The 20,570-nt window shown below is 40.1% G+C and overlaps 1 protein-coding gene and 1 pseudogene across 9 annotated transcripts in view; both read right to left on the minus strand.

The window, feature by feature from the left end:
- Window positions 1-20,570, minus strand: part of UBAP2 (ubiquitin associated protein 2) — a 127,507-nt gene that overhangs the window by 41,740 nt on the left and 65,197 nt on the right. For 5 of the 9 annotated variants that reach the window (NM_001370059.2, NM_018449.4, NM_001370068.2 and 2 more), the window contains 3 exons: window positions 9,751-9,805; window positions 8,219-8,322; window positions 294-359 (listed from right to left, as the gene is read on the minus strand). In NM_001370059.2, the coding sequence (NP_001356988.2) occupies window positions 294-359; window positions 8,219-8,322; window positions 9,751-9,805 (225 nt within the window). The remainder of the gene's footprint in view (window positions 1-293; window positions 360-8,218; window positions 8,323-9,750; window positions 9,806-20,570) is intronic. The other 4 variants (NR_163243.2, NM_020867.2, NM_001370067.2 and 1 more) reach the window with 1 other exon arrangement.
- On the minus strand, window positions 4,445-5,141 carry OSTCP8 (oligosaccharyltransferase complex subunit pseudogene 8; annotated as a pseudogene).

Consider the following 20,570-nt stretch of genomic DNA (forward strand, 5'->3'; position numbering starts at 1 on the left):
TGGAGATGAATGTTTTATGTTCAATTTAACTTGGTGTTAGTCCTCTAACGAATGTATGTTAAGGCCACTTAGGAACATGGAAAATAATGATGAAAATTCTGTGGCACCTTGAAAGTCAATCAATAAAACATTTCCATTAGCAAACTGCAAATCTGATTACCAAATAAATAGGTATAGTTTACAAACATTTATCTGATAAATTTTTATTAGCTAGCTTTGATAAAAAATGAAAGATATTGCAAGCAATTTATAAGATTCTTAATTTTAAAAATTAAAAAATTAAGTATTCATACCTTTGAGTCCATAAGAACTTTTGTTTGACAGATCCTGAGCTATGTTGTGAGTATTTGATGCCAGTTCTGTGGACCAATGTAAAATTGAGGGTTTAAACATATGAAAAGAATGAAAGTATTCATCACAGAGAAGATGGTCACTGTCAAAGCTATGTATATGCTGCGTTACTGCCCAAGGATAGTGAAATGTAATTGAAATCCATACTCTTACAGGTCACTGCAAATCAAGTTATGAATCTTATCCTTGATGGCTCTTGGACACTCAAATCACTTCAATTATTCTCATTCTCACGCCCATGTTTACCAAGCTCCCTTCTCACTCATCAAAGAGAGTATTCTAATCTGTTCAACAGGTACCAGTTTTTAGAAAATTTATAAATTAGCCTTCTGAGTATACACAAGTCTTTCTAGTTTGGTTAATTTGAGGGTCCCTCATATCAGGAATAGATTTGTGGTTATTATACTGTCAACAGTTGGGTTTCTGAGCCTATAAGGCTGAGTCCTGGACTCATAACTCTCTTATCAACAAGCCAATACCATTCTGTGAGGCCTCTGGAAAAACAGCCAGCACCATCAGCTGACATCCTTTAACTGTATTCTACAACAAATTGGTTTTGCTTATCTAAATGCTTTTCAGCAAGAAATCTGCTACTTTAAATAATAAGTGGGAGGAGATGAAAGAAAAGAGAGAGGAGGAAAGAGAAAATTTTAAAAAAAGTAACTAATTGACTAATTCAACATTCTGCTTCAACACTTGCACAACATTCGGCTTCAAAGCCATGGAAGCCAGCACAGCTTCCACACACAGTTCTTCCACACTGTGTGGAAGCTGTGCACAGTGGTGCAGGGCTGTAGTCCCAGCTACACAGGAAGGTGATGCAGGAGGATCACTTGAGCCCAGGAGTTTGAGGTTGTAGTGCACTAAGATTACGCCTGTGAATACCAACTACACTCCAGCCTGGACAACAAATTGAGACCCCCATCTCTTAAAAAAAAAAGAAGCAAGAAAAAAAAACATCAGTGGAGGTATTAATAAAAGCACTATAATATCACATACAGATTTTTGTTTGGATGTGTTTTCATTCCACTTTTATAAAAATCTAAGAATGGGATTGTCAGATTGTATGATAGGTATGCTTTCCCACCAGGCATGTATATGAGTACCTGTTATTCCACAATCCTCACCAGCACTTGGAATTTTTCATTTCCTTTAAAGCCATTTTAATAGGTGAATGGGGGTAACTCAATGTGGCTTTACTTTGTATTTCTCCAATGACTAATAATGATGAGCACACTCACGGATTTGTTTGCTATCCATTTATCATGTTCCCTTATAAATGCAAATATTTTGCTTTTAATTAACTTTTTATCTTAAAATAATTATAGAGTCACAGGAATTATCCTTCACCAGTCTCCGTGTTAAAACAGAAAATTTACCATTTCTGACCCTCTCCAAGTGTACAATTTAGTGGCACAGAGTATATTCACAATGTTGTACAATCATTACTATCCATTTCTAGAACTTCTTCCATTTTTTCCCCCCATTTTTAATTGCTCATTTGTTTTAGGGGGTTGTTTTCTTATTACTGAATTGTGAGAGTTCTTTATTTATTTTGTATATAAGTCCTTATCAAATATGGATTTTATATAAACATTTTCTCCAAGACTACGTCTCATTCTATCATTTCATTTTTCTCTTCAGAAGAATTTTACAATTTTTGATAAAATGTACTTTGTCAATTTTCTCTTTTATGACTCAGGCTTATCGGATTCTATATAAGAGATCTTTGCCTAACCTAAAATCACTAGGATTTGCCACTATATCTTCTTTGTAAGTTGTACTTTCAGGTTTCATGTTTAAGTGTAACCTTGGAGGGTAATTTTTGTATACAGTATAATGTATGGCATTGAATTGCCTCATAATCTTTGACAAAAAACAATTAGCCATATGTATATGTGTTTATTTCTAAACTACTATGCTATTGATTTATGTGTCTTGCTTACTGCAGTGTTAGAGCAGTTCTTAAAATCAGGGAGTGTGGGCCGGGTGCGGTGGCTCACACCTGTAATCCCAGCACTCTGAGAGGCCGAGGCGGGTAGATCACAAGGTCAGGAGATGGAGACCATCCTGGCTAACACAGTGAAGCCCCGTCTCTACTAAAAATACAAAAAAATTAGCCAGGTGTGGTGGCGGGTGCCTGTAGTCCCAGGCACTTGGGGAGGCTGAGGCAGGAGAATGGCGTGAACCCGGGAGGCAGAGCCTGCAGTGAGCAGAGATCGTGCCACTGCGCTCCAGCCTGACTGACGAAGCGAGACTCCATCTCAAAAAAATAAAAAATCAGGGAGTGTGGGTCTTAGAACTTTTTTTTCCTTTTCAAAATTGTTTAGGCTACTTTAGTTCCTTTAATATTATATAAAAATTTTAGAGTCAAGTTGTCAAGGCCAGGCACAATAGCTCACACCTGTAATCTCACCACTTTGGGAGGCTGAGGTGGGCAGATCACTTGAGGTCAAGAGTTCAATACTTACCTGCCCAACATGGTGAAACCCTGTCTCTACTAAAACTACAAAAAAAAAAAAAAAATTAGCTGGGCATGGTGGTGCACACCTGTAATCCTAGCTACTCGGGAGGCTGAGGTAAGAGATCACTCACCCAGGAGATGGAGGTTGCAGTGAGTTGAGATCGCAACACTGCACTCCAGCCTGTGTGACAGAGTGAGACTCCATCTCGAAAAAAAATAAAATAAAAAAAAGAATCAAGTTGTCAAAAATCTGCTAAGATTTTGATTGGAATTGTGCTGAAGCTATCGATCAATTTGGAGAGAAATGACATTTCAAAGATATTGAGTCTTCTAATTCATGAACACTGAATATGTTCCCTTTTATGAGGGTCTTCTTTGATCTTTCCCAACATGTTGCATAATATTAACATACAAATCTTGCATATACGTAGTCAGAAATAACTATTTCTTGTTTTTTTGGTACTACTAAAAAAAGTACTGTTTTTCTTATTCTTTGTTTGCAATTGTTCACTGCTAGTAAAGAAGTACCATAATTATATTTTAATGATGGTTATAATTCTATATGCATTTGTTAGAATTCATCCTCTGTACCTCTAAAAAGGGGAGAATATATGTGTATACATATAAAAACTACATCAACAAATCTAATTTTTTTTAAAAATCAGTGGGGAAAATTTACATGAGACGGACCACCGTGAATTAATAAATTCAAAGACTGAGTCAGTAAAAACTAAATGTCACAACAGTGGGACTAAAATATATTAAAGTGGTATATCCCTCTATTTATTGTCTTCTTTATTTTCTCTCAATATTGTTTTATATTTTTTCTAATCTTACATATCTTACATATCATTAGACTTATTCCTAGGCATCTGGTGTTTTCTGAAGCTATTAGCAATTTTTTTCCATTTTCTGTTTGTTGATGATTTATAGAAATACATGCCTTCATGAAACTTGTGTCTTGCATCTTGTGCTTGTGAAACTCTCCAATAATTTGTCTACAGATTCTTTTACACAATCACAAAAAACAACGGTTTATTCTCCCTTTCCAATCCTTATGACTTACTTATTTTTTCTTTATTGCACTGGCTAGGACCTCCAGTACAGTGTGAATGGAAGCAGTGACCGCATGTGTTTTTATCTTGTTCCAGAGGAAAACCATTCAATATATCACCATTGACTGTAACACCTGCTGAAAGTTTACAGATATTCCTTATCTGATTAAGGAAATTCCTTGTATTCCTAACTGCCAGGATTTTGTTTGTTTTTAATTAGAAAAATTATTTATTTCTGCTCCTTTCATAGATCTTATTGTTCAGGAAACAGTCATACATACGTATCTGAAATAATGTATTATCACACTCCCTATTAAAAGGCAAAGCACCACAGGTAAAGCTGATCAGCCATCTAGAATTCTCAATTTATGGAATCTTGCTTCCAGATTTTATATTAATTTCTGAAAATCAGAAATGTCATCTCCAAAAACAAGTTAAAGGGGCTGTAAAAAATAATCACTTTATTCAATATTATATTTGTAAACTGGAGTATATTTTCTTTAAAAAATGAAAAACTAAGAAGAAAATGTCACTCAACATCATTGATGTCAATAGGTCAGCAGGAGAAAAAATACTGTGATAAACTTGTCTCTTTGATACCAAGAAGAAATTTTACTCCAAGCTACACTTCCAGTGTTTTCACTACATATTTCTTTACTGCTGCTCTTCATTCTTTTCCACATTTCACAACAGTGGATTGGTACAGCCTTTAAAACTTCATTGACAGGAACAAATCCAGTATCCATTGATTTCTTCTCAAAAGGCACTCTAACTTATCAGATTGCCCGGCAGTTACATTCTCATGAATACTCTAGCCATAAAAAAACTCAACAGGACACAGACAAATCCAATGAATAGAAGAAGAAATCTACTGGGTTTTGGGATATTTGGTGCATTCGATTGGTACAGGATTATGAAACCTAAACCCTCCATTGTAAACAGGAAGCTGGATGCAAGTCCTTCCATAATATACTGTCCATTTACTCTGTACACCAAGAAAGCTACTGGCCTCTGATGCCCATGTTCATCGGTCACAGAGCCAACACTTTGAGGTTCAACAATAACATCATAAATTATTCCTCTGGTGATGAGGAAGCAAGACACCACCACCAGGGCATACATAGTCATGGCCGAGGGCATGTGCAGCCTGGTCGGCTTCTTCAGCTTCAGGTTGGGACATTTGAGCACTAATGGGACGCGGTACAAAGTCTCCATGTTGGTGGAATCAAGGGCCATTATCAGGCTCAAATCCCACGTGCCACTCAGAAACACTGTTTGTTTTAATCATGAACGAATATTGAACACTTTTCCTTACTGAAATAATCATACGGATTTTTCTCCTTAATTTTGTTAAATGGATAATACTAATTTCTATATTTTTATATACAATACACATAACATGAAATCTATCCTTTTACAACAGACAGTTGAATAATTTTTAGTATATTCACAATTTGTGCAATCATCACCTCTAATTCTAGAACATTTTCATCACTCCAAAAACAAACTCCATACTCATTTGTAGTCACTCACCACTTTTCCCAAATAGTTCTATCTCTAGGCAACCACCAAGCTAATTTCTGTCCCTATAAATTTGCCTTAGACATTTCAGATAAATAAAATCATAAAATACAATATATGTGGTCTTTCTGTGACTCTGCATACTATTTTCAAGGTTCATCCATGTTGTAGCATGTACCTTAATTCCTTTTTATGGCTGAACATTATTCCATTCTATGTATATTCTATATTTTGCTTATACATTCATCCATTGATAAACATTTGAGGTTTTTTCCCCCCAGACAGACCTGTTCAACAGGAAGTATGGGTTGTTTCTACTTTTTTATAATGATGAATTATGTTGCTATCAATCTTTTTGTACAAGATTTTATGTGAACCTATATTTTCCTTTCTTTTGGGTATGCATCTAGGAGTTGATTTGACTTGTTTTTTAAAAGTTAAACAAACTAAGCTGGGCATGGTGGCTCATGTCAATAATCCTAGCACTGGCTGGGTGGGAGGATCTTTGAAGCCAGGAGTTTAAGACCAGCTTCCACAACAATGCAAAATCTTATCTCTACAAAAAACTTTAAAATTCACCCAGTGCAGTGGTGTGTGCCATAGTTCCAGCAGTAAGTACTAGGGAGATTAAGGTGGGATGGCTTGAACCCAATGGTTCAAGGCTACAGTGAGCTATGATCACACTACTGCACTCCAGCCTGGACAACAGAGTGAGATGCTCTCTCTTTAAAAAAAAAAAAAGAAAGAAAGAAAGAAAAGAAGGTGGGGCACGGTGGCTTACGCCTATAATCCCATCACTTTGGGAGGCCAAGGTGAGTGGATCATTTGAGGTCAGGAGTTCAAGACCAGCCTGGCCAACATGGTGAAACCCTGCCACTAAAAATACGAAAAAGTTAGCCAGGCATAGTGCCGGACACCTGTAATTCCAGCTACTCAGGACACTGAAGCAAGAGAATCGCTTGAACCTGGGAGGTGGAGGTTGCAGTGAGCCAAGATCGTGCCATTGCACTCCAGCCTGGGTGACAGAGACCCCACCTCAAACACCCCCCCACCCCCAAAAAAAACCAGTTAAGCAAACTTAAATACCGTGTATAATTCTTTTTTTTTTTTTTTTTTTTTTTTTTGAGACAGAGTCCCACTCTGTCACCCAGGCTAAAGTGCAGTGGCACGATCTCAGCTCACTGCAACCTATGCTTCCTAGGTTCAAGTGATCCTCCCACCTCAGCATCCCAAGTAGCTGAGACCACAGGCATATGATACTATGCCCGGCTAACTTTTTAATTTTTTTTTTGCAGAGACGGAGTTTCACCATGTTGCCCAGGCTGGTCTCAAACTCCTGAGCTCAAGCTGAGTTATCTTATAATCTCCTAATATCTATATGATCCATATCAATATTCCTTTTCTCCTTCCTGGAACCAATTATTCACGTTCTCACCTTCCCTTGATGATCTCATAAGAAGCTTAACGATTTTACTAGTGTTTTCAAATAACAACTTATAAATTTTGTTGACCCTCTTTACAGTTTCTCTATTTACAGTTGGTTAGTCGTGCTTCTGGTGGTACTCTCTTATTTTTTGGCTAGGGTTGATGTTATATGGATGTTTGTGTGCATTATTTTTTTTTTTCAGGCACGCCTTGCTCTGTTGCCCAGGTTGGAGTGCAGTGGCAAAATCATAGCTCACTGCATCCTCAACCTGCCAGGCTCAAGTGACACTCCCCACTTCAGCCTCCCAAGCAGCTGGGACCACAGGTGCACACCACCATGCCATGCTAATTTTTTAAGTTTTCTTAGTATAGATGAGGTCTTACTATGTTAACCAGGCTCGTCTCAAACTCTGGCTCAAGTGATCCTCCCGCCTTGGCCACCTAAATGCTGAGACTACAGGCATGAACCACTGCACCTGGCCTTGATAATTTATTGAGCTATATTCTAAGTCTAGGTTATAATTCATTGTGTTAAATTATGTTTCTGTTTTTCGTTTTTGTTGTCATTGTTTGAGATGAAGTCTCGCTCTGTTGCCCAGGCTGGAGTGCAATGGCACGATCTCGGCTCATTGCAACCTCCACCTCCTGGGTTCAAGCGATTCTCCTGTCTCAGCCTCCCGAGTAGCTGGGATTACAGGCATGTGCCACCATGCCCGGCTAATTTTTTGTATTTTTGTAGAGACAGGGTTTCACCATGTTGGCCAGGCTGGTCTCGAACTCCTGACCTCAAGTGATCCATCTGCCTCGGCCTCCCAAAGTGCTGGGATTACAGGTGTGAGCCACCGCGCCCAGCTAAATTATGTTTCTATAAGTATAATCTCAATAATTACTGTACAAAGAACTCTATATAAATAACCAATATTTACCCCAAGAATTTCAGAAAATAAATAATCCAGAAACAGCATGATACAGAAAAACCTGCAGAGGCAACGTTGCTACAAACCCATCTATCATCTACCACATTATCATACATTATCTGGCCAAAGAATCCACCATTAGAAATGGGAAGTACTTCCAGTAAAAAATCTTCTCCTCAGAAATTCTATATATCTGTGACATACTTTGATCAGAGTGTGGGTTTGTGCTGATTTATGCCAATTACCTTATATAGCCTCTTTCTTAGCTTGCAGAAGGGAAAATCAAATTCCTTGTCATCATGAGATTTGTATGTGACAGACTTTGGGTGGTAAGAACCAACTAAGAATAGTTTCAGAGGTAGGACAGTAGCCTGTTTTTCATTCTTTTCCATCAGCACATTTAGACTTCATCTTTGTATGAGAACATACAACTCTTAATAGCTCAAACATTTAAAACTCATCTCTGGCAAAAACAGAACACTTACCAGTTCCCTCATCTGCACCATTCTGAGCAGCTTCCCAAACTACTAGCTTTGTCCCACACACATCTGTAGATGTAGAATCTGAATAGTCTGCAGGATTAAATGTCCTGGGGTTTGAAATAAAGAAATAATAAAGGCAAAAGAAGCAAACACCTAAGCCAAAATATTAACCATACATGATCTTCCACCAAACAAGCCCAGTGCCTTCTCACAGCCACTGTAAAAGACATCACCTCTCCTTCCCCTATTTAAATATAACTAATTCTGCCAGCCATGGAGATGCAGATGTGAAAACCAGAAGTTGCCTAGGGACCTTCCACACATTCTGGTATAATAGCCTTATTTTCCTGAAACACGGTCCTCTGCATCCTAAAGCAGACAAGGAGACGTATAATCTTTCAAGGCAGAATAAGAGCTCTTATGAGAGTCCTGCTGAAAAATAAGGCATAAATAGGCAACAGGTATTTTCTTCCCAAGTCAGAATCCAAGTTTGGCTTTTACAGCTTAGATTTATATGCTCCTTTACAGAAACATTAGATAAAGAAGAAAACATTTTGTTCAGCACCTCTATTTCTTTTCAATAAAATCCTAAACTGAACACCCAGTTTAATCGAATCATGGTTCAGAGGTCTAACATGAGCCAAAACAAATATTACCTTTAAAATTTTCACAAAGGAATGTGAAGTAAACAGAAAAATCCACAAAACAATTTAAAGCTAATGAGCAGGGCTATGTCTTAAAGTGCTCCTGAGAGTTTGCTCCCTGTGTTTTCATCCCTCCTTTTCCTCAAAGGAGCTTAGGCAGAAGGCAGATTGCATGAGGCACCACTACTTCTAGAAGGCATTAACACCAAGAGTGCTGCCTGAAGTTAGAGAGAGACAAAGGGCTTTTCTTGGAGCCAATTCCTTTCCTTGACTGCATCTACGTATGGCTTCCACAGGATGTTTTAAAACTCTTCCTAAAAATCCAATGGGAGCTAATGTTTTAGAAGCAACAAAAAGTAAAAAAACACCCAGAAACAAGAAATAAACCTCTGATTTTAGTGCCTTTGAGTCTGTTCAATGTTTACTATTTCAATTCAGGAAAAAGGTATCACTCATACATAAATAAGCATTACATTTACTTAGCATTCAAAGACAATGGCTGGATTAACTAAAATGGCTCTTAGGCAGTGCCATTTAGGTACGTCTATAGGTATTTTGTCACAACTTCAGGCGAAGTGCTACTGACATTTATTAATAGTACAGAGAAGAGAGATGTTGCTAAGCAACCTACAATATACAGGAGATCCTACCACCCCATGGAAGTATTATCCAATACACAATCTCAATAATGCCAAGGCTAGAAACCCTGCTCTAATGCCTGTTTAAAAGATCAATTTTATTCATATTATTTTTCTTATTTGTAAATCTCTTTAAGTATAGAAAACACTAGATTCACCATGATGACTAAATTAGATGTAGGGTATTAGAAGCAACTGCAGAATAAAAACTAGGGAAGTAAATAATTATAAAAATAGGATGGCTATCACTTACCCCATGCCTTGGGTTGAGAACCTTCCTGCCCCTCTCCCTCTGCCACGTCCAAATCCTTTAAAAAAACACACAATTATAGTATAAAATAATACTTATGTCCTACACAATTACACTTCCTTCTTCATCCTATACTCACTACCCAGACAATATTATCATTATTCCTAGTAGCACCAACATTCCAATCCAGGGCACCCAATTAACTGATCCCTGCTGATACAACTACCTATACCCAGTTAGTGACTTCTAAGGCTAGAAAAGAATTAAATTATCCTTGTATTATATTTGTGGTATTTGACAGCTAAACACAGGGAGGTTGTATTATAAAACAGTCTGCATCTTTTAAAATCAGAAAGAGCTAACACCATGGAATTATAAGCCACTACTATAAATGAAATGAGAACCAGAAAGAGGAAAATGCAAAGTAAGCTGAAGGCACTGTTAAGTATCATTTTAAATACTAGTCTGTGATCAAAGATCAAAATGGCAGCAAGCATGAGAACAAGCAAGCAAGAAGAGAAAATTATGACTAGCACCTTTCCACATTCTCTTCATTAAAATCCTAAACTGAAGAGCAAAGGCCTAAATTTAAGAGCTAAAACTATAAAACTCTCAGAGAAAAACACAAAGCAAAAGCTTGACAACACTGGATTTAGCAATGATTTCTTGAGTATGACACTAAAACTACAGGCAAAAAAAGAAAAAATAGACAAAATGGACTTTATGAAAATTAAAAACTTTTCTGGGACAGGCATGGTGGCTCACACCTATAATCTCAACAATTTGGGAGGCTGAGGTGGAAGGGTGGCTTGAGCCAGGAGTTCAAGACCAGCCTGGGCAACATAGGGAGACTCCCTCTCTACAAAACTATTTTTATGGGCATGTGCCTCTAACTTAGCTACCTGACAGGCTGAAGCAGGAGGATCCATGAGCCCAGGAGTTGGAGGTTGCAGTGAGGTATGATCAAACCACTGTATGCAAGCCTGGGTGACATAGCAAGACTCTGTCTCAACAACAACAACAAAATCTGTAACAAAACACATATTGGCTAGGCACGGTGGCTCATGCCTGGAATCCCAGCACTTTGGAACACCGAGGCAGTTGGACTGCTTCAGCTCAGGAGTTCAAGACCAGCTTGGGCAAATGGCAAAACCTTGTCTCTACAAAAAATACAAATATTAATGGGGCATAGTGGTACATGCCTGTAGTCCCAACTACTCGGAAGGCTGAAGTCGAAGGATTGCTTCAGCCTGCGAAGTTGAGGCTGCAGTGAGCTGAGATTGCACCACTGTACTCTAGTCAGTGTGACAGAGTGAGACCATTTCTCAAAAACAAACAAAAAAACACCACGGTACCAACAGAGTAAAAAGGCAACCCAAAGAATGGAAGAAAATATTTATAAATTATATATCTGATCACAGAGTAACATCTGGAACACACAAAGAACTCCTAAAACTCGACAACAAAATACTCCATTCAAAATGGGCAACGGCCAGGCCCGGTGGCTCATGCCTGTAATCCCAGCACTTTCAGAGGCCAAGGCAGGCGGATCACCTGAGGTCAGGAGTTCAAAACCAACCTGGCCAACGTGGCAAAACCCCATCTCTAATAAAAATACAAAAATTAGGCGCATGCCTGTAGTCCCAGGTACTCGGGAGGCTGAGGCAGGAGAATCGCTTGAACCCAGGGGGCGGAGGCTACAGTTCCTAACTTGCGTCACTGTTCTCCAGCCTGGTTAACAGCGTGAGACTAAAAAAAAAGGGGGGGGTGCGGGGGGGCGGGCAATGGACTTGAATATGGATTTCTCCAAAGAAGATATACAAATGACCAATAAACACATTAAAAGATACTCAGTATTGCTGATCATTAGGGAAATCCAAATCAAAACCACAATAAAATACAATCCCATATTCATTCGGATGACTACTACCAAAATTAAAGTAAAAAAACAGAAAATAACAAGTGTTGGCGGCCGGGCGTGGTGGCTCACGCCTGTAATCCCAGCACTTTGGGAGGCCGAGGCAGGCAGATCACGAGGTCAGGAGTTCAAGACCAGCCTGGCCAATATGGTGAAACCCCGTCTTTATTAAAAAAATGCAAAAATTAGCCAGGCGTGGTGGCGCGCGCCAGTAGTCTCAGCTACCTGGGAGGCTGAGGCAGGAGAAATGCTGGAACCCGGGAGGCAGAGGTTGCAGTGAGCTGAGATCGTGCCACTGCACTCCAGCCTGGGTGACAGAGTGAGGCTCTATCTTTAAAAAAAAAAAACAAAAAAAAAACCAAGTGTTGACAAAGATGTGGAGCACACCATTGTGCACTGCTGGTAAAAACGTAAAATGGGGCCAGGTGCAGCGGCTCATGCCTGTAATCCCAGCACTTTGGGAGGCCGAGACGGACGGATCACAAGGTCAGGAGATCGAGACCATCCTGGCTAACACGGTGAAACCTCATCTCTACTAAAAATACAAAAAAAAGAAAAATTAGCCAGGCGTAGTGGCAGGCGCCTGTAGTCCCAGCTACTCGGGAGGCTGAGGCAGAATGGCGTGAACCCGGAGGCGGAGCTTGCAGTGAGCCGAGATCACAACACTGCACTCCAGCCTGGACAACTGAACAAGACTCCGTCTCAAAAAAAAAAAAAAAAAAGTAAAATGGTACAGCTACTATGGGTAACAGTATGGCAGTTCCTCAAAAAATACAATGATTGACCATATGATCATGAAATTGTGCTTGTGGGTATATGTTTATACAACAAATTGAGGCCTGACATGGTGGCTCACACCTGTAATCCCAGCACTTTTGGAGGCCAAGGCAGGAGGATCGCTTGAGGCCAGGAGTTCAAAACCAGCCTGGGCAACAAAGCGAGATGCCACCTCTACAATAAATTTTTTTAATAAATGTTTTTTTAAGAAGGCAAAAGTAAGACTTCACACAGAGGTATTACTGTGACTTACAAGAATGTTAAGAAATTCAGCTAATTAGCTCTAAGAAGAAAACTTTCAGTCTATAGCTTTTGGCAAGAATACAGGCCAAAATTAAACAAGCTACAAAACAAGGAAACTATTCTCAGGACTTAAAACCTTGAACTGAAAAAAAAATGCAGTATATTCATACAACATTATATTATATTGCCATAAAAAGGAATGAAGTACTGATACATACTACAACATGGATGAATGTTTAAAACATTAAGTTAATCCCTTCAGGGTAAAGGCGATGGGGAACCCAAAACATTATCTAAGAGAAAGAAGCAGTTACAAAAGACCACATATTATACAATTCCATTTACAGGAAATGTCCAGAACACAAAAACCTACAGAAACAGAAAGGCGATTACTGGTGCTCAGGGTTGAGGTGGAAGAATGAAAGAATTGGTGAAATGATAAAGGGTAAGGTATACTTCTGCGGTGTGGAAAATGTTCTAAAATTGATTGTGGTGATGATTGCACAACTTGGTGAATATACTAAAAACCATTCAATTGTACACTAAATGGATGAAATGTATGGTATGTAAATTTTGTAAAGAATATTTTCTTTCTTAGGCTGGGAGCAGTGGCTCGTGGCTGTAATCCTAGCACTTTGGGAGGCTGAGGCAGGTGGATTACTTGAGGTCATCAGTTCAAGACCAGCCTGGCCAACATGGTGAAATCCCATCTCTACTAAAAAAAATGTATATATATATACAAAAATTAGCCAGACATGGTGGCGCATGCCTGTAATGCCAGCTATTAGGGAGGCTGAGGCAGGAGAATTGCTTGAACCTGGGAGGCAGCAGTCGCAGTGAGCCGAGATGGCGCCACTGCACTCCAGCCTGGGTGACAAAGTAAGACTCGGTCTTGGAAAAAACAAAAACAGTTGTTTTTTATTTATTTTTTTTTTTTTTGAGACAGAGTCTCACCCTGTAGCCCAGGCTGGAGTGCAGTGGCGCCACCTCGGCTCACTGCAACCTCCACCTCCCAGGTTCAGGCAATTCTCCCGCCTCAGCCTCCTGAGTAGCTGGGATTACAGGTGCCTGCCACCACGCCTGGCTGATTTTTGTATTTTTATTAGAGACGGGGTTTCACCATTTTGGCCAGGCTGGTCTCAAACTCCTGACCTCGTGATCCGCCCGCCTTAGCCTCCCAAAGTGCTGGGATTACAGGCGTGAACCACCGCGCCCAGCCAAACAAAAAATTTTTAAAAATTAAAAAATCTAATCCATCGTCCCCATAAATTCTAGCAAGATAATAGAATTATTGTTTCCTACTCACCTGGTAGTAACGCTACTAGTAACATTGGTTTCTGTGTATATACCATTTCCCTGCATTGTTATCTGGAATGAACAGATTAATCTAGCAGCTCAGAATAAAGATCCAGAGTCTTTTAATCACAAAAACCAAGTCCAACGTTTCCAAAGATTATCAAAGCGAATAAACCATATTATGGTAAATGCTGTACCTTTCCTCCTCAAGCCCTGGGACTCTACTACATCTCTGTTGAATGATTGTTCAAGGTTTTTTTATTTTTTGAGACAGAGTTTTGCTCTGTCACCCAGGCTGGAGTGCAGTGGCGTAATCTTGGCTCACCACAACCTCAGCCTCCCAGGTTCGAATGATTCTTGTGCCTCAGTCTCCCGAGCGGCTGGGATTACAGGTGTGCATCACCATGCCTGGATAATTTTTTTGTATTTTTAGTAGAGACAGGGTTTCACTGTGTTAGCCAGGATGGTCTCAATCTCTGTAGTCCCAGCTTCTCGGGAGGCTGAGGCAGGAGAATCCCTTGAACCCGGGAGGCAGAGGTTGCAGTGAGCCAAGATCGCACCACTGCACTCCAGCCTGGGCGACAGAGCGAGACTCTGTCTTTTAAAAAAAAAAAAAAAAAAAAGACTGATCTGTAATCCCAACTTCATAAATATGGAGTCTTTCATGGATTAAACTCTCATGTATAGAGGCACAATAATGGCATTATATAATTACAGGAAATAACCTATCTGTTCAGTAACTGATTTGAGAATCAGCATTTTATTAAATGCTATGTGGAACAAGGACTCAGCAAGACTCCCAAAGAAGGTACTACAGAGGATTCGAAATTTAAACGTAAGCTGGGTCTGGTGGCTCATGTCTGTAATCCCAGCACCTTGGTAGGTCAAGATGGGAGGATCACTTGAGCCACAGTAGTTTGAGATCACCCTGGGCAACAGAGCAAGAGCCCCTTCTCTACCTTAAAAAAAAAATTTTTAAGTAGAATGTTAAAACATAGTAGGTGCTCAAAATTACTTTGCACTTGTACTATATAGACCGTATTCATGCAATAATTAGTTTTAAAAGTAGAGGAACTAGGCCGGGTGCAGTGGCTCACACCTGTAATCCTAGCACTTTACGAGGCCAAGGCAGGCGGATCACGAGATCAGGAGATCAGGAGATCAAGACCATCCTGGCTAACACAGTGAAACCCCATCTCTACTAAAAATACAAAAAATTAGCCCGATGTGCTGGCGGGTGCCTATAGTCCCAACTATTCGGGAGGCTGAGGCAGGAGAATGGCGTGAACCCAGGAGGGGGAGCGTGCAATGAGCCGAGATTGTGCCACTGCACTCCAGCCTAGGTAACAGAGCAAGACTACGTCTCAAAAAAAAGAAAGAAAGAAAGAAAAAGTAGAGGAACTAATCTGAGTCACTAAATACAAAACAGTAAGGTAAAGCAGTGAGAAAGGTTAGGGAGTAAACTATTGTTGCCTTTTTTGCATTATTTTTCTTCCATCCAGAAGGAAACCAACCCCTGTAACTTCAAGTGTAATTCATTACCAGCCAAAGCAGTGGCTTGTGCCTGTAATCCCTCTGCTTTAGGAGGCCAAGGGAGGAGGACTGCTTGGAGCCAGGAGTTCAAGACCAGCCTGGGCAACACACAGAGACCTGCCTACAATGCTTTTGAAAATTAGCTGGGCATTGTGATGTGCACCTGCAGTCCTATCTACTCAGGAAGCTAAGGCAGCAGGAGTATTGCTTGAACGTAAGAGTTGGAGGTTGCAGTGAGCTATGATCATGCCACTGTACTCCAGGATGGGTAACAGAGTGAGACCCTGTCTCTAAAAAAAGAAACTATAGTTCACTACCTTACTTGACTCAATCTCACCAAAAGACCAAAATAATACATATAAGCTGATAAACCATTTATGAATACACAAGATAAAGAAACATACAAAAGAAGAGTAATTTAAATACACATTTAAGCCTGACCTACATAGAGAAATCCCGTCTCTACTGAAAATACAAAATTAGCTGGGTGTGGTGGCGCATGCCTGTTATCCCAGGTACTCAGGAGGCTGAGGCAGGAGAATTGCTTGAACCCGGGAGGCGGAGGTTGCGGTGAGCCAAGATCCCACCATCGCACTCCAGCCAGGGCAACAAGAGAGAAATTCCCGTCTCAAAAAATAAAAATAAAAAATAACTGGCCAGGTGCGGTGGCTCATGCCTGTAATCCCAGCACTTTGGGAGGCCGAGGCGGGCAGATCATGAGGTCAAGAGATTGAGACCATCCTGGCCAACATGGTGAAACCCCGTCTCTACTAAAAAATACAAGAAGTAGCTGAGCCTGTAGTCCCAGCTACATGGGAGGCTGAGGCAGGAGAATTGCTTGAACCCCGGAGGCGGAGGTTGCAGTGAGCCGAGATTGCACCACTGCACTCCAGCCTGGAGACAGAGTGAGACTCTGTCTCTAAATAAATAAATAAGTGTAACCGGTGAAACCCCATCTCTACTAAAAATACAAAAAATTAGCCGGGCATGGTGGCACACTCCTGTAGTCCCAGCTACTCGGGAGGCTAAGGCAGGAGAATTGCTTGAACCTGGGAGGTGGAGGTTGCAGTGAGCCGAGATCACGCCACTGCACTCACTCCAGCCTGGGCGACAGAGACAGACCCAGTTTCAACAACAAAAAACTGTATCATGGAATCAAATCTTCAAGCAAAGCTGGCAAACACATACTTAGCTGACATTCTAATAATTCCGCTTTAATCCAAATCCTGACATTCTAATAATTCTGCTTTAATCCAAATCCTGAGTGTCATTTCTTTTTTTTTTTTTTTTTTTTTTTTTTTTTTGAGACGGAGTCTTGCTCTGTTGTCCAGGCTGGAGTGCAGTGGCGTGATCTCGGGTCACTACGAGCTCCGTCTCCCAGGTTCACGCCATTCTCCTGCCTCAGCCTCCTGAGTAGCTGGGACTACAGGCGCCCGCCACCACACCAGCTAATCTTTTTTTGTATTTTTTTTTTTTAGTAGAGACAGGGTTTCACCGTGTTAGCCAGGGTGGTCTCGATCTCCTGACCTCGTGATCTGCCCGCCTTGGCCTCCCAAAGTGCTGGGATTACAGGCGTGAGCCACCGCACCCGGCGAGCGTCATTTCTAATACATAAACACACTCAACTACAGCAAAGTACAAAAAATGGATCTATGTCAAGTACATTAAGTATATTGATATCTTTTTCTGCATAAAGCACATTCAAAACAAAGTTAAATGAAATAGCAGGCCAGACGCTGTGGCTCATGCCTGTAATGCAAGCACTTTGGGAGTTTGAGGTGGGCGGGTTGTTTGAGCTCAAGAGTTTGAGACCAGCCTGGGCAACATGGCAAAACCCTCTCTCTACAAAAATTAGCTGGGCATAGTAGCGTGCACCTGTAGTCCCAGCTACTAGGGACGCTGAGGTGGGAAGATGGCTTGAGCCTGGGAGGTGGAGAGTGCACTGAGCCAAGATCACACCACTGCACACCAGCCTGGGTGACAATGCAAGAACCTGTCTCAAAAATAAATAAATAAAAATACAGTAAATAAAAACGGTGAGCCACACGAAATTTTATATTGCTTTGGAACTCCTAAATTATGTCAAGACCAAAAAAATAATATGGGCTTATTTACTTCATATATATATATATATATATATATATATATATATTCTGGATATATATATATATATATATATATATATATATATTCTGGATATATATATATATATTCTGGATATATATATATATATTCTGGATATATATATATATATTCTGGATATATATATATATATTCTGGATATATATATATATTCTGGATATATATATATATTCTGGATATATATATATATTCTGGATATATATATATATTCTGGATATATATATATATCTAGAAATACAAATAAATAAAAGACGGGGAAAGATACGATAGTAAATAAAGGCCTACTGTCTGAAAAGCTTAAAATATCTGAAGGCTGGAGTGTAGTGGCACAATCACAGCTCACAGCAGCCTCAACTTCCCAGACTCAAGCCATCCTACCACCTCAGCCTCCTGAGTTTCTGGGACTACAGATGCACATCATCATGCCCGGCTAATTTTTTTTTTTTTAAACAAAAAAAGCCTGCTACATTGTCCACTCTGATCTTGAACTCCTGAGCTCAAGTGATCCTCTCACCTCAGCCTCCCAAAGTGCTAGAATTACAGGCATAAGCCACTGTACTTGGCCTGAAATTATTTTTTAAATACATTGATATAGAACTGCTTGAGTTCATGAGTTTGATACTAGCCAAGGCAACACAGACTCCTGCAAGGAGGGATGGAAGGATGGAAGGTAGGTAGGTAGGTAGGAAGGTAGGAAGGAAGGAAGGAAGGAAGGAAGGGTGGAAGGGGGGAAGCGGGGAAGGAGGGAAGGGGGGAAAGGGAGGGAGGGAAGGAAGGAAGGAAGGAAGGAAGGGGAGAGAAGAGGTACACTACAAAAAATAATGTCAGAATCATAGTAATTTTCACATTATCTCTATGAAATGGAAAACTTCTCTCTGCTTTTCTCTTTCCTCTCTTCAGGATACTGGTGAGAAGAACAGAATTGTTAAGATATAAGACAGTTGCTCCTTCCCCTATGATCATCACATATCTGGCAGATCCCAAGACAGGCCCCACTCCTTGCAGTTGCTTTTTACAACTCTGAAGCTAAGCTTCAGGAAAGTCCTAAAAAAAATCTCAGCAGAACTGCCAGCAGCCAGCAGCCCCTCTTTCACCCAAGCTGTCAAAGGGCCTGCTGGTAAACATACTTACCTGACATTCTAATAATTCCGCTTCAACCCAAATCCTTTGCAAAAATCCTCAATTACACTCCACTAGCAAAAAAGCTTATGAAAGATATACTCTATAGGAATGATTTTTCAAGTGGCTCCAGCTTGAATGCAAACTCTGCTCCACACTTACGACAACTTACTATCCAGCAAGGCCAACTGATCAAGCTAAGAACAAAAACCAAAACAAATAAAAAATAGGTAGGTAGTTTGCCTACATAGCTGCTTTTATATAAAGCGAACGTAATAGATTTTGACAGTAAAATTAAGTGCCCATTTTGTCGCCCAGATAGTTTAAATGGACTATGTTTTTGATTGTTTGCATTCTGTTCCTATTCACCGGTATATATACTGATGAGAAAATTATATGAACAGCCACCATACAGTCCCAGTAAGAATAGGAAGAACAGGTCAAATAAAACACCATACCCCCTGCAGAATTTATCTAGCATACTTGCGATTAAGAAAAACTATGGTGATTTTACATGGTCTGTTAACTTTTATTTATTTGGGGTTTATTAGTCTAAATAGAACCAAGGTAAACATATCAACTTTTTCCTCAAAGTAATAACAGTACCCATCCTAACAGATACTCAATCTCCAATTCACTGGTTATCCCCTATAATGTGTGGTGTTTTTTTTTGTTTTTTTTTTTTTGTTTTTGAGACAGAGTCTCACTGTCACCCAGGCCGGAGTGCCATGGCATGATCTCGGCTCACAGCAACCTCCGCCTCCCAGGTTCAAGCAATTCTCTGCCCCGGCCTCCAAGTAGCTGGGACTACAGGCACATGCCACCATACCCAGCTAATTTTTTTGTATTTTGAGTAGAGACAGGGTTTCACTATGATGGCCAGGCTGGTCTCGAACTCCTGACCTCGTGATCTGCTCGCCTCGGCCTCCAAAAGTGCTGGGATTACAGATGTGAGCCACGGTGCCCGGCCCCCCTATAATGTGTTTTTATAACAATAAATCTGTCTGATTTATGACATGGATCAGCTTGTAATCCTTAAACATGTCTCTAAACAACCAATCCAAATACATACTGTGACTAGATTCCTACTGTCAAAGGGTAAAAGTAAAGGATTCAACAGTGTAGTCAGTAGTGGGATTTCAGTCATGAAGATTTGACGATTTCTCTAAGACGCCCACTAATGCCAGCAGAAGCATGTGAGAGATCAAATACCCTAGGAAAGAAAACCCTCTCCCTGGTAAGAGGGGAAGAAGCTGGGTTACTATGTATTCCTAAAACCTTAAGAACAAAGGAATATCAGAACAATGATATTTTAACCAGAACAGGGTGGTAAGGACTAATCACACACATAACGTTGGTCTTATACTGTGACCGCCCTCCCTGGTGAGACACAGTAAAATTTAGGGGTCAATAAAGTCATTTTATTCTTTCTTTTTGTTACCTTCTATTTTCTTTTTCTTCCCAAGGTGTGTACTTCAGGGTTTAGGACCTAATAAATTAGCAGAGGTGTACGTGCCAACACTCTTCGTTGCCATCTTTCTATCTTTGACAATAGTAAGTTTGAAACTTACTTTACAGAAACCTGGTCCTAAATATAAAAAATACTAAGCAGTTTCAGCTTGTGGAAGACAGAATTATACTTGGTTTTTACCAATTTACTATGTGGCATATGACAAGAAACTTTACCTAGAATAATACTGAATCCCTGGGATTTTTTTATTTGAGACAGAGCATCACTCTGTCACACAGGCTAGAGTGCAATGGTACAATCTCGGCTCACTGCAGCCTCCACTTC

The sequence above is a fragment of the Homo sapiens genome, chromosome 9, assembly GCF_000001405.40.
Source record: "Homo sapiens chromosome 9, GRCh38.p14 Primary Assembly".
Classification (NCBI taxonomy): Eukaryota; Metazoa; Chordata; class Mammalia; order Primates; family Hominidae; genus Homo; species Homo sapiens.